A 22,359-nucleotide genomic window follows, 5' to 3' on the forward strand; every position below is an offset into this window, starting at 1 on the left:
AGGCTACAAAATCAGTCTCAATAAATTTAAAAGGATTGAAAAATTACAAAAGTCTATTTTTGGCTACAATAGAATTAAATTATAAACCAAAAACTGAAAGAAATTTGGAAATTCACAAATATATGGAAATTAAGCAACATACTCCTAAATAACCAGTGGGTCAAAGAATAAGTTATAAGTGAAATTAGAAAATATTTTTAGATAAATGAAAATGAAAACACAACATACCAAAATTTCTGAGATGCATTACAGAGTACTCAGAGGGAAACTTATAGCTGTAAATGTAAATCTTTTAAAAAAGAAGAAATACCTCAAACTAACTTTTCATGTAAAGCCACTAGAAAAAAAGGGCAAACTAAACCTAAACAGAGAATAAGCAAGGAGATAGTAAATATTAGTACAGAAATTAGTGAAATAGAAGATAGAAAAACAGAGAAAATTTAAAAACAGAAGTTATTACTTTTAAAAAATCAACAAAATTGACAAACTTTACGTAGACTTAACAAGAGAAAAAGACAGAAGACTTATGTTACTAAAGACCAGGATGAAAGAAGAAACATCACTACTGACCTTAAGAAATTAAAAAGATTTAAAGAAAATACTATAAATAACTGTATACCAATCAATTAAATAACTTAGGTGAAATGAACACATTCCTACAAAGACACAAGAAAGGTCTTTAGAAAATATGAATGGCTCCATGATCTTAAAAATTATATAGAAATGCAAAGGATTACAAAGAGCCAAAATAATTTTGAAAAGAAAGGCAAACTTGGAGCACTGATGCTTCCTGATTACAAGAATGAACTTGCTCTACTCCACCAATTTTGGACCTTTATGATGATAACAAGGTTGAATTTAATATTAAAGAGAACTAATATAAGACCTTGTTAATATTCACCAGAGAAAAATATACTAATCAAGTAAAGATCATAGATTATTTCTTTGTTTTTCTTTTTAAAATTTGTATAAATTTAAGAGGAAGATAATAGATTTAAATGGTTTACTCTATTTTTTAAATTTCACATGAAAAATCAGTGTACCTGAAATTACTGGGATGTCAGAAATAATCTGGCTTTGATCTCTAACACTTTTCTGATCACTAAGGTTAATTCCACCTTTCTTCCTGGTTCTGCAGATACCTCCTTCCTCCCTCATTATTCCGTGATTTCCTCGTATGAAACCGTGAGCTTGATCAGAAAGGGTAACTTTCACACTTAGGAAAGCACCATTCTTGAGTCAAGGGTGTATGAGTACAGTGGTTGCACTATTTCACCATATCATACCTATTAATGCTGGTCACTTGTTTTGAAGGTTGACCGAGGGTGTTTACTGAGTTACATGATATAGCCAATTAATGTTGCTATAATGATTCTACATTAGTTCAGAGAGTTTATAAAAGGTAACAAATAATGATTTGCATACTTTATTATTCCGCTCATGTTTGTTTCTCTTTTCTGTTCCCCAGATATTATGTCTTAAAAATTTACAAATACTGAAATTGAGAAATAATCCTATCAAAGAAATTCCTTCTGAAATTCAACAACTTGAGTTCCTTAGAATTTTCACCATTGCTTTTAATTTAATTACTGTTCTTCCAATTGGGTAAGGTTGATGGTCTGAGATTATAAACACAGAAAATAATTCATAATTTCGAAAAAGATCAATTTCCCCTTTCAAAGCAGCTAGCAGCTTTTTGGCTATTTAGTAATTTGTATTCTATTCTAATTAGCTAATACGCTTCTTCTTATGGTGTTAAAAACAATCCTACCAGCTACATACAGAGCAATTAATATGGGTCTAGTGACTATACATTTAGAAACACGTTATCTGAGTACGGGTTAAATTAACAGGAATTATCTAAAGCAGTTCAGGTGAGAGCCTTGCACCTATCTCTTGACAGCCTTTTTGGATATGGAAAGAGCACTGAATTTGGGATGAGGAAATCTAGTCCTTTGACTTTAAAGTTGATGATAATTATATATTTGATCTGGAGAAAGTAATTTAACCATTCTTGGCCTCAATTTCCTAATCTGTAAACTAAGGAGATTGGCTTATATGATATCTAAGACCCTTTCAACTCCATAAGAATGCTGATATTTGGACATAAAAGAGATGGGTTTCTTCCCACGTATGGACTAGTAATTATTTAACTCCTAATGAAAATTTTAAACCAAAACCTTAACCAAATGTCAAAACAAGATACTTATTCCAATCAGAGTTTAACAAATTGAATCTCTCAGTACAAAGAGAAAGGGACTCATAAATAGTTGAATAATACTTTGCAAAATAAGAGTCTTATCTATAGTAATTAAGGAAGTGCATCCAAATTCATTTATAAAGATGTTCATTCAGTATTGTTTGTAATTAATGATCTAAAAAATTGTACATTCATAAACATTCAGTTATTTAAAAGAATAAGAAATTATATTAAAAAATTATACCATTTCTGTATAAAATGCATATACATATCACACATTACACACTACATATATAAAAAGAAAGAATAAACACTAAAGAAGTAAGAATGTTACATATGGGTATTTTATTTCTGTTTGACTCATCCGGATTTTTCCACAGTACATAAACTGTATTTTCCCTGCCCTGACACTATCTGCCATTTCTCTAAGGAAATCCTGTTTCCTTTTATTAGAAAATAGTGTTTAAAAGCCAAGATCTGGGTGTTGGGTATCCTCATCACCATTAGGTTATCATTCCTTCTAGACCCTCTCATTGGAGAGAGCAAAGTAATATATGTATGTATACTAACCCATGTGTACACACATATCTGTAATTGTTTATATAGATACAAACACATATACAATTACATATATACACACACAGAACTATATATGTATAAATATATATGTATATATACAGCATCTAAACATGAATTCCTACTGGATAATCTATAATCATAATTATACATTTTCAATAATCATAACTACCATTTAAACAAAATAAAAATTCCTAAAGCAAGTGAAATGTGATTATAACTAAAAGGTCAACATTTTGTTCATTGTTTAGATATTGGACAAATAAGTATGAATTGTTGATTATAATCAAAAAGTTTGCAGAAGCTATTTTTAAAAACTATTAGTGTTTCTGAAATAAAGCGGCATATTTTTATTAAATAACATAGGATATGTATGCATATCAGGGGAAGAATGACAGCATATTAAAGCCAAGAATGAAAAACATAATGGGGAAAACTTAACTTTATTGACCTCAAAGAAGACTTCAAGCAAGCTCTGACATAATAAAAATGTTTATTTGCAAAGTTTGTTCAATGAAAACTCACCAGGAGGGCACTTATACAGTGAAGAATGAAGGTGCTGAATTCTTCATATCTAAGGGTTGTTGTCAGAAATCTACCTTGCTGAGCAAAGAAGACCTCACGGAGTGTGGTGAGACTTGGAGATCAGTAACTGAATTAAATTGAGTGAAATTTAGTGAACCAAACCATTATGTAATATATTTGAGATATTCTGGCTCCATGTAAATTCTGGAGTTTGGACATTATTACCATCACAAGCAATTGCACTGATACACTTTGAATGTTATACTTTCATTCTTGTAATTAATTCAGCAGATGTTCATGAAGCATCTATTAATACTGTGTGCTCCTAGGAGCTCACCACCTAAAAGGAAGGCAGACAATTCAATACAATTGAGTAAAGTAAAATAATGGAGATGTACACAGTAAAATGTATGAGTTACATGTAACCCATTCTGAAGGGTGAGAGTTGGTTCCCTGGAAGATGTAGTATTTGATCCAAAGTTGACTGAGTGTGAATTAGGTGGATTAAACAGGAGAGACAACAAAGGATAGTTGGGCCAATGATAGGGTGGATATTTCTTCAATGAAAAGTTACAACGTATATGAAAAGAAGCAGCATATATAACATGAGATGGGAAATACAAGCAGTTTGCTGGTTTTGAAGCTTAGAGGGCAATGCCAAGTGGTAAGAAATGGTACAGTAAGCAGGGACCAGATTATCTAGGAAGCCTTATGAGCTAAGGTAAAGAATTTATGCTGTATGCAACAAGAAACCATTACAGGTTTTCCATATGTGAGTGGTAGAGTCAAACTTATATTTTACGTTATTCTAGTGGCAGTGTGGAGGATGGATGTGAGGGGATAAACAGAATTAAAGGTGACCAGTTGGAAGGCCATTGCAGTAGTTCAAGCAAGAGATGAAGAGAACTTGGACCAAGGCAATGGTAGTGAGCATGGAGAAGGAGGAACAAATTGTTATGAAATTGAAGTAAAACCTGCAAGATCTAGAACTGAGACATAGAGGCTATAAGGAACAGAAAAGTCAAAGTAAAAAAAAAAAGTCAAGGTAATGCCCAGATCTCTAGTTAGAGTGAAACAATTCAATCATGTAAAATGTATTTATTGAGTATTTACTAAATACTGGGCTCTGTCCTAAGCATTGGGTTCAGATTGTTAAAGGAAAAGGGGCATGATCTTTTCCCTTATGGGGCTTAGAATCCAGAGCACGATACAGGAATTTTAATAAACACCATAATAAATATATGAATATATAAATATAAAACATTCTAAGGGCTTTGACTGAAAAGAACAATATGATGTCAGGAGAAAAAAAAATTGAATCACTAAGAAAGGTGTATCTGAGGAAATGACATTTAAGCAGAAGTTTATAAATCCAGTCCAAGAATAAGAAAAAGAATATTCATGCAGTGGGAATAACATGGGAGGTAATGAGAGCTTGGACTCCTCAAAGGCTGACAGGAAGCCAGCATGGCTTAGAATAAAACCCAGGTGAGGTTTAGGAGTTGGATAGGGACTACATCCCATGAAGCTGTGAGGGTCAGGTGAAAATATTTATAATTTATTTAAAGTGCACTGAGAAGCCATTGCTTGTTTTTAAGCACAAGAGTGACAATGAAGGCTGAGGAGGTTTGAATGAAGGAAAATAATTGGTTTTGTTTTAGATTAACATGTTGATTTTAGATTTCTGTTTTTCATCACAATTCTGGACCTAGACCTATTAACCTCACAGGAGAGTTTTGTGCTGGAGATATTTCTGGAGAAACATCTGTGTTTCAAATACAGACAGATAAAGAAATTATAAAGACTGAGGAAAAGCCTCAAATTGCATAAAGAGAACCAAGAGTATCATGGAAGCCAGGGAAGTGGATTATTTTGAAAAAGAAGTATGACCAACAGTGTCAAATACAACAGAGAAGCTCAGTAAGAGTAAAGGTGAGAACAGTTTTAGTGGAATGATGGAAATAAAAGCCAGCTTGCAGTGGGTTGTGATGGAATGGGAAGAAATTGGTGATAATGAGTGTAGACCATTCTTTGTAGAGCTTTAGATGCAATGTGAGAAGAGTGATTAGACAAAAGCTATAGAGAAAGTGGGATCTTAGAAACATTTTTATTGTTAGTTTTTTAAAGACTCGGGCATATTTACAGGATGTTGGAAAGAAACCAATAGGGAATAGATTGAAGATGTGGAAGGATGACAGATGAAGCAGAATTTCACAGGAGATGGGAGGGGAAGAAGTCATCAGCTCAGGTGGAGATTCTGGTCTTGAACAGGAGGAGTAACCATTATCTCCTAAAACTGGAGGTAGGTCCTAAAAATGAACATGTAAAATATATAGTTATATGGGTAAGAAAACAGGAAATTCATTTAGTCAACAAAGATTTATTTAGCTCCTATAATGCATCAGTTGAGAGAGGTTACTATGAAATAACTTCAGATAATCTTTGAGAGCAAGAAGAATAATGATTGAAAAGAAGTTTTAAAGAAAGTTGTGATGATTTAGTGTTGATATTGAGAGGAACAGAAAAGAACAGAGCACAGGAAAGTGAATGTTTGAGAGATGATGCTGTGGGCTTAGCTGAGACTGGAAACCAAGGATTCATGGTGACACGAATCTGCATTTCTGCTGATTATCTTCAGTAGCTCAGTCATTCATGTGTAAGATGGAGAAGGTAGATTTTAGCCTCCATAAAAAGACTTCTTTGGGAATGTCCATAGCAGTTTTATCTGCAATATCCTGAAAAAGTCTGCAATTCAAATGTCCATCAACAAAACAGTGGAAAACCTAATTGTTTTTATTCGCAATAATCAAAAGGTGGTAACTCAAATGTCCATTAACAGATTAATTAATGAATAAACAAAATGTGATATATACATACATAGAACATTATTCATCTTGAAAACAGAATGAAATGCTAGTATATGCTACAACAACAATGAGCCTTGAAAACATTATGCTAGGTGGAATAAGTCAGATACAGAAGGATAAACATTGTGTTATTGTGCTTATATAAGGTACCTAGAATAGACAAATTTACAGACACAGAAAGTGGAATATAGGTTACTGGGGGCTCAGGTATAGCAGAGAGGGGAGAATTGGGAGTAGCTGTTCAATGGATATAGAGTTTCTGTTTGGGATGATGGGAAAGTTCTGGAAATACATATAGTGCTGGTGGTTGCATAATACTGTAATTGTAATTAATGCTGCTGAATGGCACACTTAACAATGGCTAAAATGGCAGATTTTATGTTATCTATATTTTACTATAACAAAAAATACATAGAGCCTGGGCAACATGGTAAAACCCCATCTCTACAAAAAAATACGAAAAATTAGCTGTGCACAGTGGTATGTACTTGTAGTCCCAGTTACATAGGAGGCTAAGGTGGGAGGATCACTTGAGCCTGGGAAGTTGAGGCTGCAGTGAGCTTTGGGCAACAGAGTAAGACCCTGCCTCAAATATATATATATATATATATAGTTATTAGTAACCTCAATGCTTTCATCTTTCCTCCTAGTCTTCCTTCTTTCTAAAATTTTTAGGTATAATTTATATACAATAAAATGCACAAATCTTAGGTATTTGATTTAAAGTGTTTAACAAATATACGCACCCATATAACTACTATCCAAAACAAGATATGGGGTATTCCCATTATCCTAGAAAGTTTACCCTAGAAATGTCCCCATGTACATTTCTAGTCAATTCCCAGACTTCTAACATCATAGACTTATTTCACCTGTTCTGGAAAATTATAAAAGTTGATTGATACAACAAATGATTTTTTGAGTGTGACATCTTTCACTCAACATACATTTTGGGGATTCACCCATGTTGTATATATCAGTATTCCATTCCTTTTTAATGATGACCTCATGTCACATGGCCTCAGCCATTTCAGCAAAGTCAAAAATAGAAATGGGATTAACTAGGAACGAAATTTGTGGACAAGTCTTTTGTCTTATGGAATGAATACCCATGATATACATGGGAAACCCACTAGGTTCTTGAAGATTTTATACTAATAGAAATGTTGCCAGAGTGTATTAAGAAGGACAAAGACAGTATGAAATGAAAAAAGGCTGTCAGATCTCCAAAATTCCATGGGCAGGAAACAGCTGAATATATGTGCCAACTTTCATGAAAAAGGGAGGGTGATTCAGAGGGTGGTGCCAGGAACTGGGGAGGATGAAACCAGGAGCACCGAAGGTGGAGCTGTGATTCTAAAAGACAGAGCCAGAAGCCAGGAGGGCAGAAACTGGAAAGCAGGTGGCAGAGCTGGGAGCTGCTGCTGATTATTCCCAGGCCTTGAAACCAGATGAAGTTTACTCAGTCCTATTTCAAAATTGCTTGGAATTGGTAATTCCTGTTTACCTTTCATTTTCTCCCTTTTGAACCAGAATATCTATAACTTATCCTATGCCTGTCTCACCATTGTATTTTGAGAGCAGATAACTTGTTTCTTTAATTTCATAGATCCACAAATGGAGAAAAGTTGTGCTTCTGGATGGGTTATATCTGGAGCCTCACCTATACCTAATTTAGATGATGAGATATGGGACTTTTGAGATTTAGATGAGATGTTGAACTTTGAGTTGATGCTGTAAAGGTTAACCTTTCGGGAAATTGAGATAAGTGAATGTATTTTGCATGTGGGATAGATGTGAATCTTTAGGGATGAACTGTGATAGGGCGAATAATGGTCCCCAAAGATGTTCATATTCTACCAGAACATGTGAATATGTTATATTACATGGCAAAGGGAAATTAAGTTTGGAGATGAAATTAAGGGTTCTAATCAGCTGATCTTAAAGTAGGGAGATTATTCTGGATTAGTTGAGTGGTCCCAATCAAATCACATGAGCTCTTAAAAATGGAAGGGGGATGCAGAAGCATTTGTCAGAGAGATACCACCTGAGGACTTGACTTGCTTTTGTTGGTTTTGAAGATGGAGGAAGGGAGCCATGAGTCAAGGAATGAGGCAGCTTGAAAACCTGGGAATGGCCTTCAGCATACAGCCAACAAGAAAACAAGGGCCTCAGTTCTACAGCCGGAAAGAACTGAATTCTGCCAACAGCCTGCATGAGTAAGAAAACAGATTCTCCCTAGAGCCTCCAGATAGCAATGCAGTCCTGCTGATGCCTTAATTTTAGTAGAGTGAGACCTTTGCAGACTTCTGACCTATATAACTATAATTAATAAATCTGAGTTGTTGTACGCCACTGTTTGTGTTGCAATTTGTTAATGGCAGTAACAGCAAACTAAAATAAAACCAGTCAAAGATTTCAACTCTTGTGGGATCACATTCCCCCAGGAGGAGACAGTCAATATATGTAATAAATAAATTATATAGTATGTGAGAAGGTAATAAGTGATATGAAAAAGAACAAACAGTAAAAGGGAGTGAGAGTGTGATTTTAAGTGGGATAGCTAAGGTAGGCCTTATTGAGAAAGGGACACTGGAACAAAGTGGGGGTTTGTGATGTAAATTTAGCAGTTCAAGTCTAATTTAACAGTATTTTATTAAATAAAACAATTGGTTACTCAATTTGTTTGAAGCCCTAGTGTTAGGATTTAAATTAAGATACATATTTTTTCTAGATATTATCTAACATAGAAAAATGGTTGTTTATTTTGGTGGCTAAGCATTGTATTTAAAAGATTGTCTTTTTAATTCTTTTCATTATTAGTCTTTTTCTTATAGTTTCCATATGTTAAAATATGCATATATTTTTTTTCCCAGATATATTATTTTGGTACCTTCTCAAAGTTTTACTAAAAGTGTAATGGAGTACTTTCACTGTTATCTTTCCATTCCTAACAAGATCTTTCTAGTTTCATGAGACTCAAAGTGATAGAGTAGAAAAAGCAAGACACTTTCAGAGGCAAGTTCTGTCCCATATATGCTACAAACTCTAGCAAGCCAGTGACCTACTCTTTTTTTTTTTTTTTTTTTTTTGAGACGGAGTCTTGTTCTTGTTGCCCAGGCTGGAGTGCAATGGCACGATCTTGGCTCACCACAACCTCTGCCTCCTAGGTTCGAGCAATTCTCCTGCTTCAGCCTCCCAAGTAGCTGGGATTACAGGCATGCGCCACCATGCCTGGCTAATTTTTTGTATTTTTAGTAGAGACGGGGTTTCACCATATTGGCCAGGCTGGTCTTGAACTCCTGACCTTGTGATCTGCCCACCTCGGCCTCCCAAAGTGCTGGGATTACAGGCGTGAGCCCCCGCACCCAGCCCTGACCTACTCTTAACTTCAGTTTCCATCTGAAAGTTTAGAAAACTTATACTTGTCTTCAAGGATGTTACAAAAATTAGGTAAGAAAATCTTGTAAATTGGCTGGGCATGGTGGCTCACGCCTGTAATCCCAGCACTTTGGGAGGCCGGGGTGGGCGAATCACGAGGTCAGGAGATCGAGACCATCCTGGCCAACATGGTGAAACCCCATCTCTACTAAAAATACAAAAATTAGCTGGGCATGGTGGCGTGTGCCTGTAATCCCAGCTACTCAGGAGGCTGAGGCAGGAGAATCGCTTGAACCAGGGGAGTTGCAGGTTGCAGTGAGCCAAGATCACACCACTGCACTCCAGCCTGGTGACAGAGCAAGACTCTGTCTCAAAAAAAAAAAAAAAAAAAATCTTGTAAATTATTTTTAAAATCCTTTCAATTATTTTCACAGATTAGTCTCTTTTCCTTGACCTAAATTTCTAAAATAAAATAAAATATGCAATATTTTTGAAATTATGTAACAATTGATTGTTTCAATATAGGGCAAATTAGAAGTTAATAAAGAAAAAAGTTCTATTTGAGTAAAGCACACATTTACTGAGGCCTACATTTTCGTTCCTAAGGTTTTGCTTTGAGCAACTTAGGGCATACTGTGTGAGGCAGCATGGAGGCAGGAAAGCTCAGCTTCTGTGGGAGAAAGAACAGGGGCCTCCTATTAGTGGCCAGTGGATCAACACTCCCATGTTATGCTTAGAACTTTATTACTATGAAAAGCTCTTTGATTTGTCTTTTCAACTCTCTTATAAAATGAAGATAATAAATCACTTCAAAAATCCAAATGTTTTTTTTTCCTGTTCCCAAAGCTTTTGTAGAAAAGATAAAAAAGGGAGAAAAAGGGAGGTGGGGTGAAGGACAGAGACATGTTTTAGACTCATGCCCTGAGGTTATGCAGAAACAACTGTCACAAAGGTTAAAACAAAAAGTCTTTATCTTTTTCTCAGTGGATAGCAGGAGAAAAATGACATAGGAAATAGCTACTTCAACTGAGGGAGTCAAATCTTTGCCTTACTTGTTTGACTCAATTTACTTTAATTGGCAGGTAGGTTCTTCGGGAAAGAGAAACTATTTGGAACAAAAAGAACCGAACAGCCTATTTGAAAGCCGTGTCTTAACAGCAGATCTGAAATTGTACACATTTATTTTCCCATATTGTTATTTATTAAAGAAGGGGATTAAATTACCTTGCCTCCACATATCTGATGAAAAGGGATAGCTACATTTTATTTCATACCAAATTGGATACATTGCTTAACCTCTTATAGCTTCCATTTTTTTAACCTGTAAAAAACAATCCTACACTGGTATGTTAAAAGATCATTCTAAATTACCATATAGTAGGCTTTTAATAAATATTTATATCAGTGTGGTGGTCATCACTGTTAATACATGAAATTATTATTGCTAGTCTAATCTTGCAAGCTAACAGTAGGGCTCTAGTTTAGGCAGCTCATTGGCCAATAATTTGCTAATAAATCAAGCAATGAAATAAATGTAAAAAGTTTTACATATCCTAAAAAATGTGATAGATTTGGTACTGGTGGGACATAGAGTATCAGACCAAACAGGCTGTCTGAACAGATTTTCTCTGTAAAAATCATATATAGATGACATAAATTTCAACTCTAGAACCTATTCAGCTTCCTCAGTGCTGCCTACACCTGTTACATCTCACAATCAGCAGGAATATGTCATCCATAGTGAAAGCCTGGAACCAAACTAGGTTGCCAGAGCCAAGGTAATAGGGAAGATAGAATGACTCCAGAAACTGCCTGAGGCAAGAAAATGATATGATATTGAATTGAAAGATAGAGCAAATGGTATTAACATTTTCTTTACAGAGATGATAAGAAGTCAGAGATGAACACTGAATTGAATAGGCATTTCCTTTGTTTTCCTAGTCAGTCTCATTAACTTCTCAGAGCAAATTATTTTAAATTAACTGGGGTCACCATTCCTTTCATTCAGTTATGATTTACTCAGCACTTACGATGTACTAGACAGCATGTAAGGCACTGGATGTATAGAAATATGAAATTGAATCCGTGCCCTCTAGAAGCTCATAATTTTAGGAGGCAGACGTTTATTGCACGATGTGATGGGTACTATGAGAGAGTAAGCAGAGAAGTACAGAAGAGGCATCTCACCCAGTCTGAAGGATTTGGGAAGAGTTTGTTGGAAGAGATGACATCTGAGCCAAGACAAAAAATGAAAAGACAATGATCAGAGTCAAGCTTGGGGAAATTTTACGTGTTATTTAGAGATATGTGATAACTGGTTAATTCAGGGAATTTTAGCAAATAAATGCTGGACCACAGAGGAATATGGGGGATTGTGAGAGGCAAGCTGGACAAGTAGCATGGGACCAGATCATGAGGACCTTTATATGCCATGTTAAGACAGTAAGAAGTTGGCGAAAAATTCTGCTCATGATGCCTTAGTTAAAAATCATACAAATAACTTCTCACCTTTTATTTACATGGAAAACAAGAAAGTCTTTGAGAACAGCACATACAGAGAAGGGGGTGTTTACTAGGGATTATGATGACTATGATACTGAGCCCTTCAATTCCAGTCTTCAAGAAGCAATTCCCACTTCCATCCAACCCCTAGGAGTCAGGGCTTCTGACAGCACAACTATGTTTTTGCAGAGTGTTTGTATTCTTTGGTTCTCACCTTTAAGTACTTGTCTTGATGGAAAGAAAGATTAAAGGTATTTTACTAGAAAAGTCTTAATGCAATTGTAGTGGGTTGAATAGCATCCCTCGGAAATTCATGTCCTTATAGAACCTCAGAATGTGACCTCATTTGGAGATAGCGTCTTTGCAGATGCAGTTAGTTAATATAAGGTCATACTTATACTAACTTGGATAAGGGTGAGCCCCAAATTCAATGGCTATTGTCCCTATAAGAAAGGCATGTGAAGACAAAGGCAGAGGTTGGAGTTATGCTTCCACAAGCCGTGGAATGCCAAAGATGGCAGGCAACCACTGGAAGCTGGGGGAGAAGCAAGGGACAGTTTCTCCCTCAGAGCCTATGAAGGGAACCAGCCCTGCTAATACCTTCATTTCGACTTCTGGCGCCCTGAACTGTGAGAAAATACATTTCTGTTACTTTAAGCCACCCAGATTATGGTAATTTGTTAGGAAACTAATGCAACAACAACAACAAAAAAGTATCTTAGTGATAATGAAAATTTTTCTAAATAGGGCTTTGTCCACTCCAAAAATCTCAAACTGGTCTTAATGGATAGATGAGTAATTCTTAGGAATTTTCATAGTAATTACACGATCTATAATGAAAAGAAGTCCATATAAATTTCAAGATCTTAGAAATCTGGTTTCTATACTCCTGCCTACTTACTCAAGTACTTATTTATTCCCAGTGGTGATACATAATCATTTCTACAATTAATTTTCTCTTTCTATTTAAGGTTATTTTCCTTGTCTTATCTTGAAGAACTTGATGTTTCCTATAATGAACTTACTTTTATTCCAAATGAAATTCAGAAACTCAGGTATTTTGGAAGTACACAGAAAGTTATATGCCCCTTAATTATATATTTAATAATGATTGTGATAGAGAAAATCAATCCTTTCATTTATTTAATAGCCATAAAATGTAATCTGTGAAGTACAAAGTTTACCAAACATGTAATTTGAATGATTGGTGTACAGTATTTTTAAGACATAACATTTCCAGAAATTATTTAAAGAAAGTGCAGATGACTACTTAACAGAACGATAAGCTACTTATGTCCATTTGTCTGTGTGTGTACCTGTGGCTCTTATTATGTTTCATTTATTTTTTGTGAGGAAATACATTTACGCAAAATGCTAATAATACAAAATATAATTTTAATGCAAAGCTTCAATTCTTTCTAACATTAATAAAAGTCTGAAGTTTATCTATGTCCTTCTAGGTCAGTACTATACTGTTTTGATTGTGACTTCAGAATAATTTTTAATAACTAGTAGGGAGATTATTTTTCAGTAATAGTCTCTTAACTATTCTCTTTAGAACATAATCTTTCAGATCATTTTGTATAATTTCTAGCACATCCAGCAGCACACATAATCACAGAGTTAGAATTTTAATTGCAATTGCATAGAGTTTACTCATAAATTTGGGAGAATTTATATTTTTGATCAATTTTTCTACTCTAAAACTTTTTTTTCATTTTTTCAGATCTTGTTTTATGTTCTTCATAGGAATTTATGACTCACGTCATATTTTTCTTAATAACCTTTTCTAAGTGTTTTATGATTGTGATTGTTACTATGAATGTAATGTAATATTTCTCTTATTTCCACTTGTTTCTAATTATTGTCAGTACAGAATAGAGAAAAACTATGTACTTCTTTACATTAACTTAAAACTAATGTGTGTAACCAAGTTCTTCTGTTAGTTCTGATTTAGTTTTACTACATTTTATTTTGTTTCCTAGGAACGTAATCTTCCATTTAGCAGAATGAGATAATTTTACCTTTGCTTTTAAAATATTTAGATCAATTATTTAATTTCCTATGTGACAATCTCTATATTTTAGTAGGAGAATTCAGTCTGTTCATATTTATTATGACCAACATATTTAATTTTTGCTTTTCATTTTACTTTGTACTTATTATTTATTTACTTTCCCCTTTTCCTACCTATTTTTTTAAGGATGCTGTTTGTTCTCTTTTTAAATTTTTGAATTTATTTTATTTTTAATTTTTAGAGACAGGATCTCACTCTGTCGCCCAGGCTGGAGTGCAGTGGTATGATCATAGCTCACTACGGCCTTGAACTCCTGGACTCACAATTCTCCTGCCTCAGCCTCCTGAATAGCTGGGACTATAGGTGTACACCAGCATGCCTCGCTAATTTTTTTATATTTTGTAGAGATGGGGGTCTCACTATGTTGCCCAAGCTGGTCTCAAACTCCTAGCCTCAAGTGATCCTACCACCTCTTTTTTTCTATGTTATTAATTTTGGCATTCTATTGTACTACCCTAATCTGCTATTTGGCTATCTTTCCTTTTCCCAAACTCATAATCAAACTCATTTTCTTTAATATTTTATAAAGGCAATATAAAAAGTACTTCCCCCACCATGATGGTCTGTCTCCCCACTGCTGCCTTCCACTGTTCGTTGAGACCTTTAGAACAGTTATTTTCTTTGGAAAGATGCTTTCTTTCCAAACTCATCTTCCCCTTATCCAACTCTAGGCTTTGCTGAAATAGTTTAGAAACTTTTGTTTCAGATTCTCATTAGTATTTTCCTTTGCATCATGTCTCTTTTTATTAAAGAATGTTTATTTAGCACTTAAATCTTACAAGCATTTTAGTTCATTCTCCTTTTATATTTATCTGTATGTATTTCAAGACTCACTGTTTACAGCTGTTTCGCTCCTTTCCTCTCACCTGGAACCTGGCCGTGTCTCTTTTGATTCATTGGCTGTTTAGCGTTTTTCCTTAAGTATTTTCCTCAGATGGAATACATAGGTAATTTTTTCTCTGAATCTTTAACCCTGACAAATAAATGATGTCCTGAGTGAGTGGACAAGCTTTCATTCAGCGTGTTTCACAGTAGCCTCCATCATTGTGTCCTCCTCTAGTTTCCAGGGTGCTGGGGAGGCACCTGATGCCAGTTTGATTCTTTTTTCTTCCTAAGCGACTTTTCTTCTTGACTGGAAAGACTAAGATTCTCCCATAATCTTTGACCTTTCAGAATTTTATGAGATTACGCTTACAAGTTGTCTTTTTCTTAAGCTGTCTTTCCCGGAATTCAGTGAATTATTTGAATCAGCCAGCTCAAACTTCTCTTTTCTAGTTCAGAAAATATGTTTAAATAGTTCCTGTCCTTCTCCATCTGTTTCGTATTTTCTTCCTAAAATGCCTATTGTTTACATGTTAGGTCTCCTAGATCTGTCTTCCATGGTACCTAGATTTTTCCTCATGGTTTTTATTTATTTATTTATTTAGTTAGTTAGTTAGTTTTGAATTATTTCTTCTACTTCGTCTTTGCCTCTAATTTGGATCCCCATGAAGATCATGTTCTTCTTTCATTCATCCACTTAACTTTTTAGTTTTACACATCATGCATTTTGGTTCCAGAACATCTCTGCGTGTCTGTGTGTGCTGTATTTGAATCTTGTTTCCCCACCCCCCTCCCCAACTTTGTATCCATCCCTCCACAGAAGATGCTTGTCCCAGGACCTTTGCTTTGTGTGTTCTATGTGTTTTTCTCTTCTGGCCACTCTTTCTTCCATGCAAGTCCAATGGCAGTCACATAACACCACTCAGAATGCTAAGAAAGTGAGTGGTGGATGAGGAGGAAGCTTCTCTGCACCTCAGGGTGCTCAGCTGCCAAGGCAGTCTCAACACAGAGCTATTCTAGCTTTAAGGATGGCTTAGCAGCCAGGTGCAGTGGCTCACACCTGTAATCCTAGCACTTTGGGAGGCCGAGGAGGGTGTATTGCCTGAGGTCAGGCATTCAAGACTAGCCTGGCCAACATGGTGAAACCCCGTCTCTACTAAAAAGACGAAAATTAGCCAGGCGTGGTGGTGGTGGATGCCTGTAATCCCAGCTACTCGTGAGACTGAGTCAGGAGAATCACTTGAACCCAGGGGGCAGAGCTTGCAGTGAGCCGAGATCAGGCCACTTCACTCCAGCCTGGGCAACAGAGTGAGACTCCATCTCAAAAAAAAAAAATGTTTAGCCTGCCTAGCTCTCTTAGAACTCATTGAGGGGAAGGAGGCAGCTAAACAGGTGTGTCCTCCGAGGTAAACCAACTCAGGCAGGGAGAGCCTCACCATGGCTATTCAGGTGAGCCATGGTGAACCTTCACTAGCATTTGCCTAGAGTGTGCCACACTCATTCTGATTGTCCACATAGAATTTGTATTTCTCAGCTTGGGCTACTATAACAAAACACCATAGGCTGGGCAGTTATAAAAAACAGAAATTTATTTCCCACAGGCTGGGAAGTCCAATATCAAGGCCCCAGCAGATGTGGTGTCTGGTGAGGGCCCACTTCCTCATAGACAGCCATCTTCTCACTCTAATCTCACATGACAGAAGGGGTGAGGGCTCTCTCAAGTCTCTTTTATAAGGGCACTAATCTCACGCATGAGGGCTCCTGCCCTGATCTAGTCACCTCCTAAAGGCCCCACCTCCAAATACCATCAACTTAAGGTGAAGATTTCAATATTTGAATTTTGGGGGGACAGAAACATTCAGACCAGAGCAGGGCTCTCTGCTGCCGGCCCCTAGGCTTGTGATTTGCGCAGAAGAAAAAGGTGACCATGCCAGCTCTCTCATTCAGGACTGTGGCAGAGACTGGAGTCTTGCTCACCTTTTTCAGACCATGAGAGGTGAATTAGTCAAACTCTGGTTGAGGGATAAAGAGAGCTGAGGTGCCATCTTCCTAGCCTCATTGTTTTCAATACCCTTGTTGATCACATTTTAATGTTATCAGCAGGAGTCATAAATAAGTTACACTGTGTAGATATGAGTTATGAAACTAGACTGTAAATGAGAATCCAGAGGCCCTCAGCAGTTTGTTTCCTAAAGTTCATATATCAGCCTTTTCACCTCTAATACATTTGACAAGTTGGACCAGCCTTTGATTTGATTTTTATGTGTCTCTCATGAACAGACTCTTTTCCGTCTGCTTCTAGGACTAATTAGAAAGGAGATACATGACTGTACAAAAATACCATTAAGGCAAGTGAAAATAAGAAAATCAGTAATGTTGGTTCTCTTTGAATAAATAATAAGGGTTATTAGAAGTTATTGACACAGAAAAAACCCAGAGGACCCAGTTAATGAAAAGTCAAAGCACAAAATAGCACATAATATGTTTTGATAGCATAAATTTCACTATTTTGATTGGGCTTGAATATGTGTTGATGTTTAATTTGTCTATGAAAATATATTCTGTGTATCATACTATACCATATTTTATGTAACATGACATTGATTAATCTTGTGTTTGTGGATATTTCTTTTTCCATAGTGATGACATATTGCAAAAATCCAAACTATGTACTTAAACCGTGCTATTCACTCAAAGGCACTTATTTGCATAATACTATATTGGTTCTATTGCTTTATAAATTAATTCTCTTGATTCTAAAGAAATACTTAAATTCATACTTGTATTTTATTGGTACTAGTTTGATGCCAATTTTCATGAACAATTGAGGCAGAATTTTACTTTAATATTATGAATTGTATAATACCTTTTAAAGTGTGGTTTCCTTTATTTACAGATCACTTGAAAAACTGACTGTTGATGGGAATGAACTGAGTTTTTTCCCCCATGGAATTTTGAAGCTTAACCTGACAAAAATTCAGTTTGAGAATAATTTCACTCATCCTTGTTTTTGGAGAGATAATTATTTGAATAATCCACAACAACTTACTCAAATTATTTCTTTGTTCATTGTCCAAAATAAACTACATAAATTTTATGATAAGATCCCAGTAGAAGTTCAGAAGTTACTAAAATGGTGAGCAAATGCTGAAGCCCTTTTAACCAAAATATACCTTTAAGCATTAAAATGTTCTTCATTACAGGCTTAGATGACAGTGTCACTAACATGCACACATACTCCATGACACACACAAAACCATACACACAATTCTTCAAATCGCTCCATCCAGTTCTTCAGGTATAATAATGTAGTCTGAATCCGGCCCCCTTGTGTGATATTCTCAAGTTGTTACTTAAATCCAGTGTGAAATATGAGTTGTCTCTATGGCTGTTGCATAAATCTTTTCTATAAATGTCTAAGTTCACAGAAGTGGATTCTTCCAAAAAAATTATTTGGCTCCAGACACACTATTCTAGGAGGTGTTTCACTCCACTGTGATGTCATGGAGACCAGGAATGGAGCAGGCATGCATGGAGTAACCTCCCTCAGGGTATCAATGACCAGTGTTGGAATCATTGCCTAATCTCAAGACCAGGGTACTTAAACTGCCACATCCTTACAATCCACTTAGGCTTGTCGCTTACTTTCTTCAGATGGTAGAAGACGATTTTCATTGAATTATTGACCATCAGTGCTTAGGTTATTAATTTAACAAATATTTGCTATGTGCCTAAGTAAAATGGCTTCCCAGGAATACATAAATTAGAAACATTGACTCAATAAAAGGCAGAAAACCTAAACAGCCTAGTAACTATTGGAGAAATTGAACAGTGGTTAAAAATCTACCAACGAAAAAGGAACCAGGCCCAGAAGTTTTTGATTTTATGGTATTAAGATGTCAATATTCATGAATGCACATGAGAAAGCAAGAAAAATCACAAAGGCAGTAATTTTTTTGAAGAATTATAACCTAACTAGTGTGTGGTAAACAGATATGGGATCATGAGATTTGGATTCACCACAAGGTATTTGGGAAGCTGAACTTGAGATTCCTGAATTGCATGTGGACCCCAAAAGAGGCTAAATGGTCCCAGAGCAGCGAACTAACTCTCCCAGCAGAAAAAAAGTGTTTGAGAGAAACATCCTTGATTTAGACTGTAAAGTTTCCAGAAAATTACATTCAAATGAATATTAGCTCACAGCTTAAAGAAATTTCCAAATATATGAGGAAACAAGCCACCAAGGAAAAAGCAAAACAATCAAACAGATACTAATTTCCAAGGACCTAGGATATGAGTATTGCAACTGTGACCAGGAAAATATGAGAAAGAAATGTTAAGTAAAATGAAATTCTAGAAACTAAAAATATAATAGTTAACATTAACTCAATGCATGAGTTAAACAGCAGATTATACACACCTGAAGAGAGATCTGAAAAAATTATAGTAAACATGTAGACCGGAGGTAAAGAGATTGGAGAAAAAAGGACATGATTTAACATACACTTGGATACTCAGAAAGTGAGAACAGAGAGAATGGTGGGAGTCATTATTCAATGAGATAATGGCTACAGATTCTTAGAAGTAATAAAAGATATGAATTCGCAGACATCATCGGGAGCTCTATAAAAGCTAAGTAAAATACCTTGTGGTAAAACTGAAGAACCCCAAAGACAAAGATAAGAACCTAAAATCAGCCAGGAATAAAAAATCCCTTACAAAAAACAACAAATCAACTGCCAGCCACAGTGGACCAGTGACTGAAAAAAAATATTATTTTGCCCAGCAAAGCTTTCAAGAACAAGAGAAAACATGGTATTTTCAGATAAACCAAAACAGAATTTACTCACAATAAATTTTCACCAAAGGAAGTTGCAAAGGATGTACATCAAAAAAAGAAAAATGATTCCAGAAGCAAGTTCTGAGAGGCAAGAAGGAATGGTGAGAAAAGCAGTTGGAAAATATGTAGGTAAACAAACATGATCTCTATGAAATAACAATGTCTATGATATGGGGTTTAAAAAATATAACTAAAACCAGACATCAAACAGTTAGAAATATAATTTTTAAAAGATACTTTTTATGATAGGAAGAAACAAACCTAATGTAGGAATATATTAAGTGAAAAATGTGCAAAACATTTATGGAAAAAGCTGAAGCTTTATAGAATAGTAAAGAAGGCTGAAATAAATGGAAGAGTTATAGATATTTAGGGATAATAAGACTCAGTACTAAAAACACGTTATCCCCAAATAGAGCTATAAATTCAATGCGATTCTGGTGAAGATGCCAATAGAATTTTCTCAGAAACTTAATAAGCTGATTCTAAAATGTATATGGAAAAGGAGAAGATCCAAAATAGTCAAAATAAATCTGAAAAAAAAAAACCCTAACATAAAAGCCTTGCCCACCAGACATCAAGACTTACTATACAAAGTTAGAGAAGGTAATAAAGGTTGGTATTAAGTGCAAGGAAAGGCAAATCAACCAATGGAAGAGAAAACATAGTCCAGTTATTTTGTTCTCATGCACGTGGGAAAACTTGACATTTTGACAGAATAGCACTGTGGATCAGTAGTGAAAGAATAGACTTTGGAATAAATGATGCTGAGACATTTAGTCATCCACAAGGAAAAAACAATAAAATCAGATTCCAGCTATATATATGTCACCATCAGACACACAAAAAAATCATTTCCATTTTGATTAAAGATTTAAATATGAAAAGCAAAACTTTAAAGCTTTTACAAGGAAGTGTAGAAGGCTCTCTGTATGACTTCATGGTAGGCAGACATATCTTAACTGCAAAGCAAAAAATATAAACAGTAAAGCAAAGTTTTATAAATTTGACAAAAGTGTAATATTTACATAAATATAAGATACTATCAATGAAATTAAAAGACAAGCCATTAACTGGAAGAAGATATTGCAGTGCTTAAAATAGTTGAATAATATATATATATTATATATATATAGTAGTCGCTATAGATATATATACTATATATCTATATATCTACTATATAGATGTAGTAGATATATCTACTGTATAGATATAGTAGACACTATATACATATATATATATATAGTAGTCATCCCTTATCCTTGGGAGATGCATTCCAAGACCTCCAGTGGATGCCCGAAACCATGGGTAGCACTGAACCTTATATACATTGTGTTTTTCTATACATGCATATCTATAATAAAGTTTAATTTATAGGGGTGGTGGCGCCTGAGGTCACCATGGCTACCGAGCGCCAAACCGCAGAGCCGGTGGTGCCTTTGTTCGTGGATCAATACTTCACTCGCTGGTACAAAGCAGATGTCAAAGGAAGATCTTGTAAGGACCACTGTATACCACAGCACTCTAACCGAATATGTGTCATCACATTGGCAGAATCTCATCCAGTTCTTCAGAGTGGAAAAACAATTAAAAGCATTCCCTGTCAGATCAGTCCCAACTGTAGCAGACTTCAGAACAAGGTCTCTGGGAAATTTAAGTGGGGGGCACAGTTTCTAACAGAACTTGCACCTCTCTGTAAGATTTACTGCTCAGATGGCGAAGAATATACTGTATCTAGTTGTGTTAGAGGATGTTCGATGGAAGTGAATGAAAAACATTCTCCATAAGCCATCTATTCTTCAAGAAAAGCCATCACTGAAGGCTACATTGCAGTTGAGTTACCCAAATTTGAAGAAAGTAAAAACATAACAGAAGGGTTACTGACACAAAAACGGTATGAAGAAGTCATGGTGAAATGCATTAATGCCACAACAGTGACGTCATGAGGACTGACATGGAGCAAAAAGCAAAGTGGGATTCTTGTTACCTGGCCTAAACCATCAGTGCACGAAAGGAGAAGAACCAGTATCTGTGAAGCATACTTCACAGCCATAGGCCGAGGAGGCCTGGTGCTTCACTTACCTTCGTTTCCCCTCTCTGGCTTGCATAATGAGCCTTGGTTCCCATTTGTCTTCAGCCTGCCAGATCTGGCCTGCCCATGTACTTACCCTGTTCTCTTGCATCTCTCTAACAACTGGCATGCAAGGAATGTTTTTCTGATTAAAAACAAACAAACAAAGCTCTTCAAAGAAAATTTAGAAAGTATAGAAAAGTTTTAAGTAGCTAAGTAAAAATAATTTACGCATTATCCCATAATCCAGAAGTAAATACATTTGACCCTTGAATAACATGGGTTTAAACTGTTAGAGGGTACCATAAACGAATCAAAAATATATCATTAACCAAACACAAAACCCACTTATAGAGCAGGCTGACTTTTCATATACTCAGTTTCCAAAGAGCCGACTGCAGGACTTGAGTTATGTGTGTATTTGGGTATATGTGGAAGGTCCTGGAACCGATCCCCCATGTAAACCAAGGGCTAACTGTACTACATTTTAACCTACTT

General features: G+C 35.6%; 1 protein-coding gene and 2 pseudogenes across 22 annotated transcripts in view; all 3 read left to right on the forward strand.

Moving 5' to 3' along the window:
- Positions 1-22,359, forward strand: part of LRRC63 (leucine rich repeat containing 63) — a 65,188-nt gene that overhangs the window by 36,959 nt on the left and 5,870 nt on the right. For 6 of the 22 annotated variants that reach the window (NM_001282460.2, XM_017020422.2, XM_017020431.2 and 3 more), the window contains 3 exons: positions 1,469-1,605; positions 13,023-13,106; positions 17,847-18,086. The exons of 1 other annotated variant lie outside the window; for it this stretch is intronic. In NM_001282460.2, coding sequence (NP_001269389.1) covers positions 1,469-1,605; positions 13,023-13,106; positions 17,847-18,086 — 461 coding nt within the window. Of the gene's footprint in view, positions 1-1,138; positions 5,234-5,446; positions 5,604-7,777; positions 8,524-13,022; positions 13,167-17,846; positions 18,087-22,359 lie in introns of those variants that run through there. 15 more of the 22 variants (XR_007063660.1, XR_007063665.1, XR_007063662.1 and 12 more) reach the window with 15 other exon arrangements.
- RN7SKP5 (RN7SK pseudogene 5) lies at positions 1,056-1,327 on the forward strand (annotated as a pseudogene).
- Positions 21,167-21,932, forward strand: ABITRAMP1 (ABITRAM pseudogene 1; annotated as a pseudogene).

The sequence above is a fragment of the Homo sapiens genome, chromosome 13 (assembly GCF_000001405.40).
Source record: "Homo sapiens chromosome 13, GRCh38.p14 Primary Assembly".
NCBI classification, from domain to species: domain Eukaryota; kingdom Metazoa; phylum Chordata; class Mammalia; order Primates; family Hominidae; genus Homo; species Homo sapiens.